The sequence below is a fragment of the Homo sapiens genome, chromosome 1 (assembly GCF_000001405.40).
Source record: "Homo sapiens chromosome 1, GRCh38.p14 Primary Assembly".
Classification (NCBI taxonomy): Eukaryota; Metazoa; Chordata; class Mammalia; order Primates; family Hominidae; genus Homo; species Homo sapiens.
The window spans coordinates 185,055,081-185,069,850 of NC_000001.11; the positions used below are offsets into that span (position 1 = coordinate 185,055,081).

The 14,770-nt window shown below is 38.2% G+C and overlaps 1 protein-coding gene across 2 annotated transcripts in view, besides 1 other annotated feature; it reads left to right on the forward strand.

Annotated features, from left to right (window-relative positions):
* The window catches only part of RNF2 (ring finger protein 2), a 57,046-nt gene that overhangs the window by 9,523 nt on the left and 32,753 nt on the right, over nucleotides 1-14,770 (forward strand). The window lies entirely within an intron of this gene.
* Nucleotides 9,903-11,102: an enhancer, noted in NCBI's record as "BRD4-independent group 4 enhancer chr1:185034115-185035314 (GRCh37/hg19 assembly coordinates)". NCBI's record gives its function as "activates an origin of replication core promoter dependent on BRD2, P300/CBP, MED14 and CDK7 cofactors, and independent of BRD4, by STARR-seq in HCT116 cells {active_cell/tissue: HCT116}" and the evidence as "EXISTENCE:reporter gene assay evidence [ECO:0000049][PMID:35650434]".

Sequence of the window (14,770 nt, forward strand, 5' to 3'; positions counted from 1 at the left end):
CTATCACTTTGCAGATTGTTTAAATGACTAGGGCTTTAGGGAATAGGGAAAGTATGCTCTGCAGATCGAGTATCCCTTAACCAAAATCCTTAGGACCAGAAGTATTTTGGATTTCAGATTTATTTTTCCGGATTTTCTAATATCTGCATTATACTTACCAGTTGAGCATTCCTAATTCAAAAATCTGAAATCAGAAATGTTCCAATGAGCATTTCTTTTTAGCATGATTTTTTGAGCATCATGTCCATGTCCAAAAAGTTTTAGATTTTCTTATTGGGGTGATAAACCTGTATCGTTTATTTTGGCTAGAAATTACTGTTGTAGGTTTTTGTTTGTTTGTTGTTGTTGTTTTTAAATTTAAATGGGTTCTCACTTTGCTCCTCAGGCTGGAGTGCAGTGGTGCTATCTCAGCTCACTGCAGCCTCCGCCTCCCAGGTTCAAGCTATTCTCCTGCCTCCTGAGTAGCTGGGATTACAGGCGAGCGCCACCACGCCCAGCTAATTTTTGTATTTTGAGTAGAGTTGAGGTTTCACCATGTTGGCAAGGCTGGTCTCGAACTCGAACTCCTGATTTCAAGTGATCCATCTGCCTTGGCCTTCCGAAGTCTGGGATTACGAGGTGTGAGCCGCCGTGCCTGGCCTGTAGTTTCGTTTTATATGAGAGTTATATCAGATTCAGAAAATCTCTGCTTTTAAAAATATACTTGGTAAGATTGGAAGTTATATCTGTTGTTTAGTTTTATGAACCTATCCTTTTGTCCTTGATCTTAAAATTTTTAGTTAGCATATTTGTGAAGAAAACAGGGCTCTTTGAATTAGTGCAAAAGTGCTTTTTTTTAATGTAGATAGCTGTGGGGTGCTATCCTCTAGTAACATTTCCTCAAATAATTGTAAAGTAATGTATGTTTTTAAAGGCTCTCAAATATTAAAGTACTATCTAGAATAGTAAATCTAAATTTCTTTATTCTTAATGTTAGAATTGTTACAGTTGCATTGAAATGTAGGTCCCATTTATCAGTTTGGATTGCTCTGTGATGATTTGTTAGTCTTCTGAAATATTTTTTTCAGGAGTTCTCCATTACTTGAAGAGTTCTCCATTACTTGGAAAGATAATATTACAGTTGTGTATAGTGTAGATAACATTATTAATGTCAGTTTAATTTGTTCTGAAAGCTTTTGGGTAATCTTTGGAATAATTGATTTAGGAAAATTAAGACAATATTGGTTTGCCAGTGAAAAAAAATTTTACAAGATAAATTATCCATCATTCTTTTTTTTTTTTTTCTCATTTTTTTTAGAGACAGGGCCTCCCTCTGCTGTGCAGACTGGAGTGCAGTGGCGTGATCATAGCTTACTGCAGCCTTGAACTCCTGGGCTCAGGGGATCCTCCCAATTTAGCTTCCTGAGTAGGTGGAACTATAGGTGTCTACCATCACACCTGGCTCATTTATTTTTTTTTATTTTTTATTTTTGTAGAGACGGGGTTTAGCTATGTTGCCCAGGCTGGTCTCAAACTCCTGGCCTCAAGTGATCCTCCCTCCTTGGCCTCCCAAAGTGCTGGGATTACAGGTGTGAGCCACTGCACCTGGCCTATCATTCATTTCTTAAATGGATTGTTTTTATTTTTAATCCCTGTGTTCAATATGTTGCTTAGTCCTTTTGGAGGTAGTTTAAGAGCTAAGAATGGGGGTAAATTCATAAATTATTACTTAAAATGTCTTTGAATAAAATAGTATTCAGTTGTTGCTTTATTCATTTTTAAAATTTATTTTTTAAATTTAGGAAATTGAAGAAGTAGGAAAAAATGCTTTTGGTACTTAATCAGTCTTATATTTTGCTCTATTTTCCTTTGGAAATAAATTTTAGATTTTGGTTTGATTTTGTTTAAAACATAGTTTTAACTGTATTTTATATGTAGATCTAAATTTATGTGTGTTTTAAAACCTGGGCTGGGTGCGGTGGCTCATGCCTGTAATCCAGTACTTTGGGAGGCAGAAGCAGGAGGATCACTTGAGACTAGGAGTTCAAGACCAGCCTGGGCAACATAATGAAACCCTGTCTCTATAAAAAAGAAAAATAAAATTAGCTGGGTGTGGTGGTGCACACCTGTAGTCCCAGTTACTAGGCAGGCTGATGTGGGAGGATTGCTTGAACCCAGGAGTTGGAGGCTGCAATCAGCCATGATCACACTGTTTCACTCTAGCCTGGGCAACCCTGTTTCAAAAAATAAATAAATAAATAAATAAAATCTAAATATAATTAACATTTTCTGTGCCATAGCTAGTTTGTTAACATTTTTAATGATTAATATTTTAGGTGTATGAACCATAGTATATTTAATCATTTCATTGTGGTTCGTTTATAAGTTTTTTTTAAGATTTGTATTTATGTTCATGATAAGCACGTCCATTATTCATGTGGCGGTGGGATGGAAGTAAAGCAGTACCTGTTGTCCCCGTAAGTTTACCTTTCCAAGAATGAATCTGTAGCTGTCTTTGATGGCAGTAGCTTGTTGTGCAGTAGAGCTGAAGAAAACAAGGAATGAAAGAAGATAGCCTGTTTCCCCATTTAGGCTTGAGAATTCTTTTTTAGGTAGTGCAGAGCATATGTTCTTGACCTTCAGTCCAGGAGTGTCTAAGGATCCACAAATACAGTCATCCGTCTGTATCCATGGTTTCGTATCCTTGGATTCAACAGACTGCAGGTGGAAAATTACTCTAAAGGGGAAAAAAAAAAAAAACAGTAAAACAGTTCAAAAATAATACAAATTTTTGGCCAGGCAAGGTAGCTCATGCCTATAATCCCAGCACTTAGATGGATGGGTCACTTGAGCCCAGATGTTTGAGACCAGGCTTGGCAACATGGTGAGACCCTGTCTCTACAAAAAATACAAAAATTAGCCGGGCTTGGTGGTGCACACCTATAGTCTCAGTTACTCAGGAGGTTGAGGTGGGAACATCACCGGAGCCTGGGAGGGTTGAGGCTGCAGTGAGCCTTGATTGCGCCTTTGCATTCCAGCATTGCTGACAGAGCGATACCCCATCTCAGATAATAATAGTAATACAAATTTTAAAGATGCAGTCTAGCAACTAGTTACATAGCATTTATATTGTATTAGGTAGTATAGGTAATCTAGAGATGATTTAAAGAATATCAGAGGATGTGTGTAGGTTATGCAAATATTACCCCATTTTATTTATGTAAGGGATTTGAATATCTGTGGCTTTTGGTGTCTGTGGTGTGCGGGGTATCTTCAGAACCCCATGGATACTCAGGGAGGACTGTACTCTGTAATTTTGTGTGCATGTGCTTTTGTATGTCTTTTTTTCTCCCAGAGGTGAGAGTTCCTTACTTTCATCAGATTCTTAAGAGGAATGTAGACCCAGAAAAGTTAAAAACCATGGACCTAACAGGAATTTTGTTAAAAGTGGAAGTAGAGGGAAAACTGTAAAAAGTATTTGAAACAGTATCTGTTGTCTTGAATTAATGTTGGTTTTCCTTCCTCTTTATTGTTCGGTAATGTGGAATGAGTTTTGCTTTTGAGAGAATGGATTTTGCTACTTTAACTACTTAAGTTTTTCTTTATTGTGTTATGGTTTTCTCTTTTTAATATTGATTATTTGAAGAACTCACATTAAGATTATCAAAGTCTAGTTGCTTATAAGTAGCTTTGCCCTAATGGGCATTTCGGTATATGTATTTTTATTGTTTGGAGCTCTTTGCAATATTTCCAGAGCAATAGATTTTTTTAGATATCACTTAAAACGTGCTCATTTTATAGATAAAGAGGTTTAGGTCTGTATATTGACTTGGTTAAAGTCATGTTGATTTCCAGTATATATGAAGTGTGCCATACTTTTGCTGCTTTTGTGAACCTAAATATTGTGCTAATTTTAGATTTATCAGAGCTATAAAACTTCTACTAGTTTCTGGTTTCTTGTTCTAGCTTCCTCTTCCTGGTCCCTGGCTTTCTTTCAGCCTTTGAAACCTCTGGAGCTACTTCTGCCAGGATTAAGCTTTTTTGTTGCAAGTTGCAGAAATCTGGCGACAAGGCCAGAAGAGAAGAGAGAGATTAAGTTAGTCTACCTTTTGGAATTGTTTCAAGAATGAAAAATGAGAATAGAAGTCTCCTGAATCCCAGTCTGGATTAAAAAAAAAAAACCTCCGTAATAGTTTTTCTTTTTCTTTTTCTGCAAAAGAAAATCTACCTATGTGACGGGGGACACAGGAAACACATTCTTTGCTTATCTGTTCTTGGCTATTTTTGCCTTAAAACTGCTAAAAATCTGTGCCTTATTGTAATATGGTAACAGTAATAGTGGGAGTTGAAATACTGAGGGAAAAAAGTACCGAGTCCATATCACCTTCTAGAACATAACTTTTACGTAGCTGTCCTTGTAGCGCAGATGCAAATTAGTGTTATCTCTAATCACATTACAAGTACTTCCAGTCATTACATATGGTATTAATTGTTATATTTAACGACTGGAAAAGTGTCCTGGTTGCAGCAGACATCTTCATGTTAATGGCATTATTGTTGTAGTAGCAGTAGTAATAATCATATGTTTGGTTGGGGGCTAAGAGCATGGCCTTCTCACTCAGACCTGGGTTTGAGTCTTGCCTCTGACATTTACTATGAGACCATTAAGCACGTTAATAGCATTATTTTCCACAACTGGGATTACTTGGACAAAGAATATGAAAATTATATTTTTATCTCTAGAAATGAATTCCTTAGCTGGTTTTTGAATGGGTTATTCCAGTTCCTGTTAGAAGAGTGTAGAGGTATTAGCCTTCAACTTTTCTCTCTCATCTTTCTGAATCTGATTATTTTCTTAGGTCTCTACCTGACCACAGATTTAATTTGCCAACAGACTGTGGCCTTCCCAGAAAAGTAGAACTTGTTAGTATATTTCCATTGACACAAGGGAATGTTACTGTGACTTCTTGCGTTGCCACTTGCTAAAGCTAACATTGGAACTTGATGAACATTTCTCTACCCAGGAAAGGATAACAATCTTGGAATATACCACTTTGCAGAAGCTGCTGACTTATGCTGTGGCATATGAGGCCCTGGACTAAGAGTCAGTAGTTAGACTTCTCTTTTTGGTTTGTCTTTAATTCAGATCTGTGTAAATCTTTTAGCTTTGCTTTATGCCTTAGTTGTGTTTCACATATCCCTCACAAAGATACAGATAACTGATCTGTATCATTAAGTCTACAGGTTTATTTATTGGGGCCAGTCATGTGTGGTGTCAGCATAGAGTGGCAGTCAACAGTCAGTAGTAACCTGGATACTGCCACCACATAAGTATACTCCCTTGTTTAGAGGTTCCTATTATCTGAGTAGGGATATGAACTGAAGTTGGTAGTTTCCCTTGCTCACTTAAGGACTCAAAATTTTTCTGTTCTGCTTAGGAAATTATTGACATTCTTTGTTTCTCTTGGTCTGAGGGCACTCGGAGAATTAAAGGTAGTCCTTTATAAGAATGTGATGAATTTAGTGTAGAGTTGATATGTGTTCAGGACTGAGAGCCTGGGTTATGCCAAAGTCTGAGGTTTAGTTGACTAATGGGTCACTAGATTTAAATAAATTGGATGAATCAGTAGACTGGAAACCCTTTGGCAAGCAGAGGTTGAAACATCCTTGGAGAAGATGAAAAAATCTAGCCTGGCAGATGAGAACCAGGAGGAATGAGTACCAGTGTAAGGAATATGTCTTGTCAGAGGGACAGACAGTTAAGAATTGAGGAAACAGGCTGGGCAAGGTGGCCCACACCTGTAATCCCAGTGTTTTGGGAGGCTGAGGTAGGAAGATCACTTGAGGCCAGGAGTTCAATACCAGCCTGGGCAACATAGCGAGATCCCATCTTTATGAAAAGTTAAAAAAGTAGCTGAGCGTGGTCATGAGTCTGTAGTCCTAGCTGCTTGGGAGGCTGACATGGGAGGATCGCTTGAGCCTAGGAGTTTGAGGTTACAGTGAGCCATGAGTCACTGAGCCACTGCACTCCACTCTGGGTGCTGGAGTGAGACCCTATTTCTCTCTCTCTTTTTTTTTTTTTTTTTGAGACGGAATCTCGCTCTGACGCCCAGGCTGGAGTGCAGTGGCGGGATCTCGGCTCACTGCAAGCTCTGCCTCCCGGGTTCACGCCATTCTCCTGCCTCAGCCTCCCGAGTAGCTGGGACTACAGGCGCCCGCCACCATGCCCGGCTAATTTTTTGTATTTTTAGTAGAGACGGGGTTTCACCATGTTAGCCAGGATGGTCTCAAGACCCTATCTCTTAAAAGGGGAAAAAAAAAGGGAAACAGAAATGAAAGCTTCTGATCTCAGGCAGAAACCAACCCACCAAACAAAAAAAAACACACAAGATCACAAAACCCCGAATGTGCAGCCTTTAGCACCAAGGCCAACAGTATAGAGGAAAACGATAGCTAGCTCATTGTTTCAAATACATATGCAATTATGGCAGGTGGATGTGGAGAAGTATGGAACTAGCTATTCTCTTTAAGACAGAGTGGGAAAAAAACGGCAGGAATCATTAGCTATGACTTGGGGGAAGCTAGATGTGTGAATTTTAATATGCAGTATACCTCTTTTTGACTTAGAAGATAAAAGATTAGAGGAAACAACTGGTTGCTGGCTGAAGTATTCAAGTTGAAAGACATTGCTAAAGGTAGAGTATTTTCTTAGCTCAGGAGAACAAGACTGTTTTTAGGCAATGTACTGTCAGAAACATTTAGCATGCTTTGATCCACAGAATATTACAGTTTAGAGAGCTCTTGATGCTACTTAACATAAAGGTTTAAATTTACAAATGAGGAAACTGGACCCTCAGCTATAAGTGACCAGCCCTGTGGTTCACCCAAGAATCTAGAAGCAGTGCTTCTTTACCATTCACGTGTATTTGTATAATAGAAAATTTGTGCTTACTCCTGTTTCAGTAACCAGTATTCCTGTAATCAAGTTATCTCCACCTTGTAGCAGCAAATATTTTACAAGGCTGAGTACAAACATGGAAGAAAACTGCTAGGGAGAACTTTTAACTGCTTTTGAGGAAGAAAGAGGCAGGTAGCTTTGTGACAGTTGTGTTGCTTTTTCAAAGGCAGCTGTGGGGATAGTGTTCTCATTGCCATGTTCATATTTTGTAACCTTATTAAGGAATTTATACACTGTGTATACCTGAATCAGGCAATCATTTATTGTTGACAGTGTAGGAAGTTATAGTGTATTAAGCTCATGTTTTACAGTTTTCAGATAGACACACATGCATATTATATACACATAAAATATATGTGTATATATTCACATATACACATATTTCTCTCTCTTTTCCCATCTTTGTCATGAATTAGAAGATAGCATGCTAACTTATCAGTGGAGAAGAGAGAACTAAACAATGATGTTGGGAAACTTGCCCATTACATGGAATGGAGTAGCTAGAACCTATCCTCTTTACATGTAAAAAAAAATTGCAAGAAAGTATAGGTGGTTGTTTTTTATAATTTTAGAGTATGGCTTCCAAAGATGCCATAGAAGAAAAGTACATTAAAAATATATAAAAGATAAAAGTTATGTACTGAAGAAGTCAAAGACAAAAGACAAAGCAGCAAACTGGGGAAAATTAACACTCATGACAGACAAAAGGTCAATTTCCTTAAAAGAAGGAGTTCTTACAAGTTAACTTAAAAAAAAAACCTGACAGAAATGGATATAAATAATTGGTAGACCTCCCCCCCCCCAAAAAAAGGCCAATAAAGCTGTGAAAAGATACTGTTTCACTCATGATTGAGGCTTGCCAATTAAAACAACAAAGAAGTATCATTTCCCTCCCACTTATCAGATTGGGCAGGGTTTTTTAAAAAAATGTTGCTCTTCCCTAATTGGTAGAAATGTAAGTTGGTATAATAATTTAGCAGTATTTGTCAGAATAAAAAAATGTACTTGCCCTTTGATCCAGTAATTCCACTTCTAGGAATTTGTCCTGGACAACTTTTTGCCAAGGGTAACTTCTTACTGTTAAAGTTAGCAAAATATACACTAAACCTGTAACTGTAAATGAGTGAATTCTGAGCAATGTCTTTATTTGGGGAAGTACCATTTGGAAATGCCAGATGTTTCTTAGGTCACTGAAACAGTAATTTTTACACAGAATACGTAGAATAGTGGTTCTCAAAACTGGCTGCACATAAAAACCATTTGGCTGGCTTTTAAACTGGGGGTGGATGAGGGGTAAAGATACTGATTCAGTGAGTCTGAAATGCAACCTTGGTATCAGAATTGTTTAAAATTTCATCCAGATGAAAGATGATTCCTTATATATAGCCAGATTTGAGAACTACTTCTCTAGAGGAAGACTCTTTTCCTGTGAGTGCATTTAGTTTTCTTTTGGCAGAAGATAAGACTATTGAGCAAATAAACCGAAGTTCGCATTTTTTGTCACCTTCTCCCACTCTTACCATCTTCTGGTAATTAGGGTTCAACTGGTGTATAAGTTTCATATAGTTGCTGTAACAAATTACCAAAATGTAGTAATTTGAAACAACACAAACTTACTATTTTACAGTTCTGGCAGTAAGAAGTCCAAAATGAGTCTTACGGGATTGAAATTAAGGTGTTGGAAGGTCTGTGACGTTTCTGGAGTCTCTAGGGGAGAATTCATTTTCTTTCATTTTCTAACTTCTGGAGGTTACCTGCATTCTAATTTGCAGCCCCTTCTTCCATCTTCAGGCCAGCTTCCCAGTGTCTTAGATTGCTCTCTTGGACTACTACCCTGGCCTACTTCATCACAGCTTCTTTGACTCTGCTTCTCACATCACATCGCTTTGTCTGCCTCTTAAGGACCTTTGCAGTTACATTGTGCCAAACCTGGATAATCCAGGATAATCTCCCCATCTTAAGAGCTGTAATTTAATTGTATTGGCAAAGTCCATTTTGCCATGTAAGGTTAACATGCACAAATTCTGGGGATTAGGACGTGGACACCTTTGGGGACCTATTATTCACACTGCCATAGTTAGAGACTTAATTCAGAAGGGCATTTAAAATTAACAAATGGAATATTTCAATCTGTCTTAAATTTATATCATATTCTAGCCCTAAATAAATTAGCTTCTATATAGTAAGTTATGATTAATGTTTATTACCTCAGGAACAATCTTCAATTTCTACTTTATTCTTAGGAATGTAGGTTGGATAGGATAGGATAGCTAGTCTTATTGCACCAATAATAATAGCTATTGTTTATTCTTCATAGAATCCTACAGAATAGGTACTTTATTTCAACACTGGCAGGATTTCATACTCTGATTTTTTTGGTAATGCTTTGGATAGTCTAGATGGTCTCCAATTTACAGTGGTTCGACTTACGATTTTTCAACTTTACAGTGGTACAAAAGCAATATGCATTCAGCATGCTCCTTGACTTGTGATGGGGCTGCATCTGGATAACCCATCTTAAATTGAAAACATTGAAAGTTGAAAACACTTTAAGCTTATATTTTCAACTTACTGTGGTTTCACTTTAGACTTAAGATATTTTCAATTTTTGATAGGTTTATTGGGATGTAACCCCATGTAGGTCAACGAGCATCTTTATTGTTATCTTAATAATATTTTGTCTTCAAATCCATGAACATGGGATGTCTTTCCATTTATTTATGTCTGTAATACCTTTCAGAATGTTTTGTAATTTTCATTATGCAAGTCTTGTGCCTCCTTGGCTTAAGTTTATTCCTAAGCATTATTATTTTATGTTGTTGTATATGGAATTTTTTTTTAATTTCCTTTTCAGGTTGTTCATTGTTAGTGTATATGAATGAAACTGATTGTTTTGTTTTTTTCTTGCAACGTTGCTGAATTCATTTATTCAGCTTTTTACAGTTTTGTGTGTATGTGTGGAGTCTTCAGGGCTTTCTGCATATAAGATCATGTTGAGAGATGAAGCCAGCTGGACTTCTGGGTCGGGTGGGGACTTGGAGAACTTTTCTGTCTAGCTAAAGGATTGTAAGATGCACCAGTCAGCACTCTGTAAAAACGCACCAATCAGCCCTCTTTGTCTAGCTAAAGGATTGTAAATTTACCAATCAGCCCTCTGTGTCTAGCTAAAGGATTGTAAATGCACCAGTCAGCACTCTAAAAATGCACCAATCAGTGCTCTGTGTCTAGCTAAAGGATTGTAAATGCACCAGTCAGCACTGTGAAAAAATGGACCAATCAGCACTCTGTAAAATGGACCAATCAGTAGGATGTGGGCAGGGCCAAATAAGGGAATAAAAGCTGGCCACCGAAGGCCCCAGTGGCAGCCTTCTCTGGTCCACTTCTATGCTGTGGAAGCTTTGTTGTTTTGCTCCTCACAATAAATCTTGCTGCTGCTCACTCTTTGGGTCGGCACTACTACCTTTATGAGCTGTAACACTCACCATCAGGGTCTGCAGCTTCATTCCTGAAGTCAGCCAGACCATGAACCCACCAGGAGGGCCAAACAACTCCAGACGCGCCACCTTTAAGAGCTGTAACACTCACTGCGAAGGTCCACAGCTTCACTCCTGAAGTCAGCGAGACCACTAACTCACCGGAAGGAAGAAACTCCTAGACACCTCTGAAGGAACAAATTCCGGACACACCATCTTTAAGAGCTGTAACACTCACTGTGAAGTTCTGCGGCTTCGTTCTTGAAGTCAGCGAGAGCAAGAAACCACTGGAAGGCATAAACTCTGGACACAATGTCATCTACAAAGATACTGTTTTACTTCCTTTACAATTTGGATGCTTTTTATTTCTGTTTCCTTTTTTTCCCCCCTACTTGCTCTAGCTAGAACTTCCACTAGTATGTTGAATAGAAGTGATAAAAATACTACTTTCTGCTATACTGTCTCATTTTTTTTTTTTTAGTATCAGCATCTACACAGCCACAAGCTTAGGAGTCCTTTTCTTTCCTTCCTTTGTCATTTCCTATATCCCATGTATTGTTATTTTTGAGCTCTGCCTTTTCTAATTTATTCTTATTAACAGCTCTACTGTAGGCCTTTCTCATCTCTTCAGATTATTGCACAGATTAGGATTCTTGATTTTCTCAGATCCATCCTTTACTGTTGGCCAAAGGTGATCTCTTCGTCATTGCACTGTGGATCTTTCTTGATACCTTTGTATTGCATACTAGGCCTCACTGATCTAGTTCACATTTAAATTTTTCAGCCTCACCCTGTGCTGAGGCTGTACTCCCCACCTTCTTTTCCACTCATTTAATAGTGAACTACTTGGAGTTTCCCAGACATGCCATGCTGAGTGTACCTTTCCTTATTATGTTGGTCCTTCAGGACTGCTTTCTTTCCTCGCTTGGTTAACTTTCACTTCACCTTAAACTCTTCCTCCAAGAATGAGTCTCTTTCTCCAGGAAACATTTTCTGATTTCTGCTCTCCCATTTGACTGCTTATTTATGCCTTCTTAGCATTTATCAAATCATATTGAAAACATGTTCAAGGATTGTCTGCCTCAGTAGCCAATACATTGTTAGAGGTTCTCATTTTCTATCACATGATAGCTCAATAAATGTTTCCTAAATGGTTGAACTCAACTGGTTTTCATTATGGATCTGTTAGCTTCTAATATGGGTAGGCAAAGGGACAGAAAGAAAATAAGGCTGCTGCTGTTATAATTAGTGTTGACTCATATTAGACCTTGATAGGTGTATCTTAAAACCTTAAAAACAGATTAAATTGGGCTATTAAAGTATCTATGTCTGTGGTGGGGGCAGGGGTAGTAGTAGTGTTAGAGGAGATGAGATAGTGATTGATGGCTGATGGGAGAAATGTGGTAGGAAGCACAGATCACACTAAATTATCTAGATCTGCATTTTAAAGGAAGCTTTAAAAATCTTAAAAACATTTCCTTGTAAGACAACTTAGTTATAGAGAGTCTAGAAATGTTAAGTTTATTACTAGTATTCAAAAACTTAAGACCGGATAATGGAGATTTGGCAAATTACCTTTAAGTGCTTTCTGTTGTATGTTCCATATTGTGGAAAAGATACAATCAAATTAGGAATTGATATTGCTTCTTTAAATAAAGAAGCTATTAGGCTACCAAGAGTAATTTAGATGAGTATTCCAGATGTTCAGTACAGTGACAAGCTTTTCAGTAAAGAACACTTTGTGTCTTTAGAAGCTTACAGAAATTAGCGTCTGTCTTACAGCTGTAGTTTTAGATTGAACTGCGGAAAGTGGTTTTTATGAGGTGTTACCGCAGGCAGTGTTATGATGGCAGTTGGATTGCTTACTCACAATTTATTATTTGCCTAGTCTTGAGTAAATTTCTAAAATATAACACCTGTATCCTGTAAGCAAGCATTGCTTTAATTAAGGAAGAAATTATTTGCTCATTTACATTTGTGTAATATAACATAAAAGGAAAAGAAAAATGCTAAAGATTGAGAGAGTTAATTTGATGTGACCTTTATTTTACTGTGTTCAGAAGGGACAGTAACTATGAGAGAAAAACATATCTCATTAAAAGAGAGAGAAGGCATCTTAGTTTTTCTTTGTTTCATAGTGCTTAGGGAAGTGTATATCAAACAAATGAAAAAAATGCTTTGTAGGGAAATGGGATAATTAAGTAATTTAAAAGTATCCTTTTTTTTTTTTTTTTTTTTGAGACGGAGTCTTGCTCTGTTGCCCAGGCTGGAGTGCAGTGATGCAATCTCGGCTCTCGGCAACCTCTGCCTCCCGGGTTCAAACGATTCTCCTACCTCAGCCTCTCGAGTAGCTGGGACTACAGGCGCCTGCCACCACGCCCAGCTAATTTTTGTATTTTTAATACAGATGGGGTTTCACCGTGTTGGCCAGGATGGTCTTGAGCTCTTGACCTCATGATTCACCCGCCTTGGCCTTCCAAAGTGCTGGGATTACAGGCATGAGCCACAGCGCCCGGCCTTTTTTTTTTTTAGAGACAGAGTCTTGCACTGTTGCCCACGCTGGAGTGCAATGGTACGATCTCGGCTCGCTGCAACCTCTGCCTCCCAGGTTCAAGCGATTCTCCTGCCTCAGCCTCCTGTAAAGTGGTTACATTTTCTGAAATGTATTTCACATTTGTTTAAAAACAAATTAAGGAAACAGCATGTATGCAGGATAAAGACTTAAGTGTTGTCTGTGGGTAGTTGGTTATATTCATTGGTGGGTTATAGTCACTCTTACTTTGGTCAGTGTGGTAGGCTGAAAAATGTCCCCCAAAAGATATCTACATTCTGGTCTCTGGAACCTGTAAATGTTAATTTACTTTGAAAAAGGTTCTTTGCATGTGTAATTAAGTTAATGGTATTGAGATGAGATTGTCCTGGATTATCCAGGTAGGCCTTAAATGTTACCACATGTAACTTTATAAGAGAAGGGGCAGAGAGAGATTACAGCCACAGAAGAGCATGAAGCAGTGTGACCACAGAGGCAGATTGGAGTGATATGGTCACAAGCCAAGGCATACTGGCATTTGCCCCAACCTGAAAGAGGTAAGGAACAGATTCTCCCCTAGGGCCTCTGGAAGCCAAGTGCAATCCTGCCAGTACTTTTATTTTGGCCCAGTGATATTGAATTAGGACTTCTGGCCTTCAGAACTGTGAGAGAATAACTTACTGTTGTTATAAGCCTTCAAATTTGTGATAATGTTACAGTAGCCATAGAAAACTAATATAGCAATCATTGTTCAGAATGTAAATGGACATTTCTAAGTAACTCAGTTTACCTAAACTCTTTCTCCTTTTGGGGAGTATAATTTATAGCTCACTCATATTAAACTATAGCTTTATTTCAGATACTCTGTATAGACCAGAAAATTTTTACGATTAAAGCAGCTGTTAAACATTTTTAGGTGCAGAACTCTTGACAGTTTTGCTCAAAATGTTACATTTAAAGTTCCTTTTTTGAGTAAAATGTTTCATCCAATTTGGAAGCTCCCTTATTGCTGCCTTCTCCCTCATAACTACTCTGGTAAGAGTACAATTTAGGCTCCTAAAATTTTACAACATAGTGTAAGCTCTTTTGCCTGTTAATGTGCTATTTATTATGAATTCCTCTTTCACCTATACTATTGAAAATATACATTTGGCTGGGTGAGTGGCTCATGCCTGTAATCCCAGCACTTTGCAAGGCCAAGGTTGGCGGATTGCTTAAGCCCAGGAGTTCGAAACCAGTCTGGGGAACATGGTGAAACCCCGTCTCTACAAAAAATACACACAAAAACCAACTTGGCATGGTGGTTCATGCCTGTAGTCTCAGCTACTTGGGAGGCTAAGACGGGAGGATTGCCTGAGCCCAGGAGGTCAAGGCTGTGGTGAGCCATGATTGCATCACTGCACTTCAGCCAGGGTGATAAGAGTGAGACCCTGTCTAAAAAAAAAAAAAAAAAAAGAAATGCAGAACATACACATTTGAGGCTATTTATCTAAGGGCTGAGCTATGAGTTCACAGTGATCCAGCACATGCTAGGGTCTCACTTGAGACTGGTTTATTGAGAGTCTGACCAAAGAGTAAAGGCCATGTAGATTCTGTATACTTTAGCCCTATACTCTTAATCATCAGACAGCAGTGTGCCTAGCCTATAATATCTTAATCCTCTCAAAGATTGGGTATGTGTTTGGAGCTAGGGAGGAGGGTAATCCAAGAGACATTTTATAAATAATTTGCTAATTTCTAATGAAATTTAAGCCCGAAATATCTCTGTTCAGTATGCTTCTTTTTCCCTTAAGCTTCCAGGAACCAAATATTTAGCCACATACAGATTAC